The sequence below is a fragment of the Homo sapiens genome, chromosome 5 (genome assembly GCF_000001405.40).
Source record: "Homo sapiens chromosome 5, GRCh38.p14 Primary Assembly".
NCBI lineage: Eukaryota > Metazoa > Chordata > Mammalia > Primates > Hominidae > Homo > Homo sapiens.
The window spans coordinates 73,551,918-73,552,189 of record NC_000005.10 but is presented as its reverse complement, the minus strand read 5'-3'; positions in this window follow the sequence as shown (position 1 = coordinate 73,552,189).

Here is a 272-nt window from a genome sequence, read left to right as displayed (position 1 = left end):
GACATTGTCATTTCTAGAAGTATATTTAGAATATTTTTCTCTTTTAAGGAAGTTTTTCAGTAGGAAAAGACCTCTGTGAAGAGAAGTCAATTCTTCAATATAAGTGAGATATTCTGTAATGGCACAAAGGGAGCACTATGAATCCATGTTTCACAGAAGCCATGAAGAAAGAGCCATGGGTTAGATGTTGATTGGACCACTGAGTGTAGGACTTGACTTACATCACTTCACCTGGAAAATAGGATGTTTTGTCAGTTATGGTACTTGGTTGT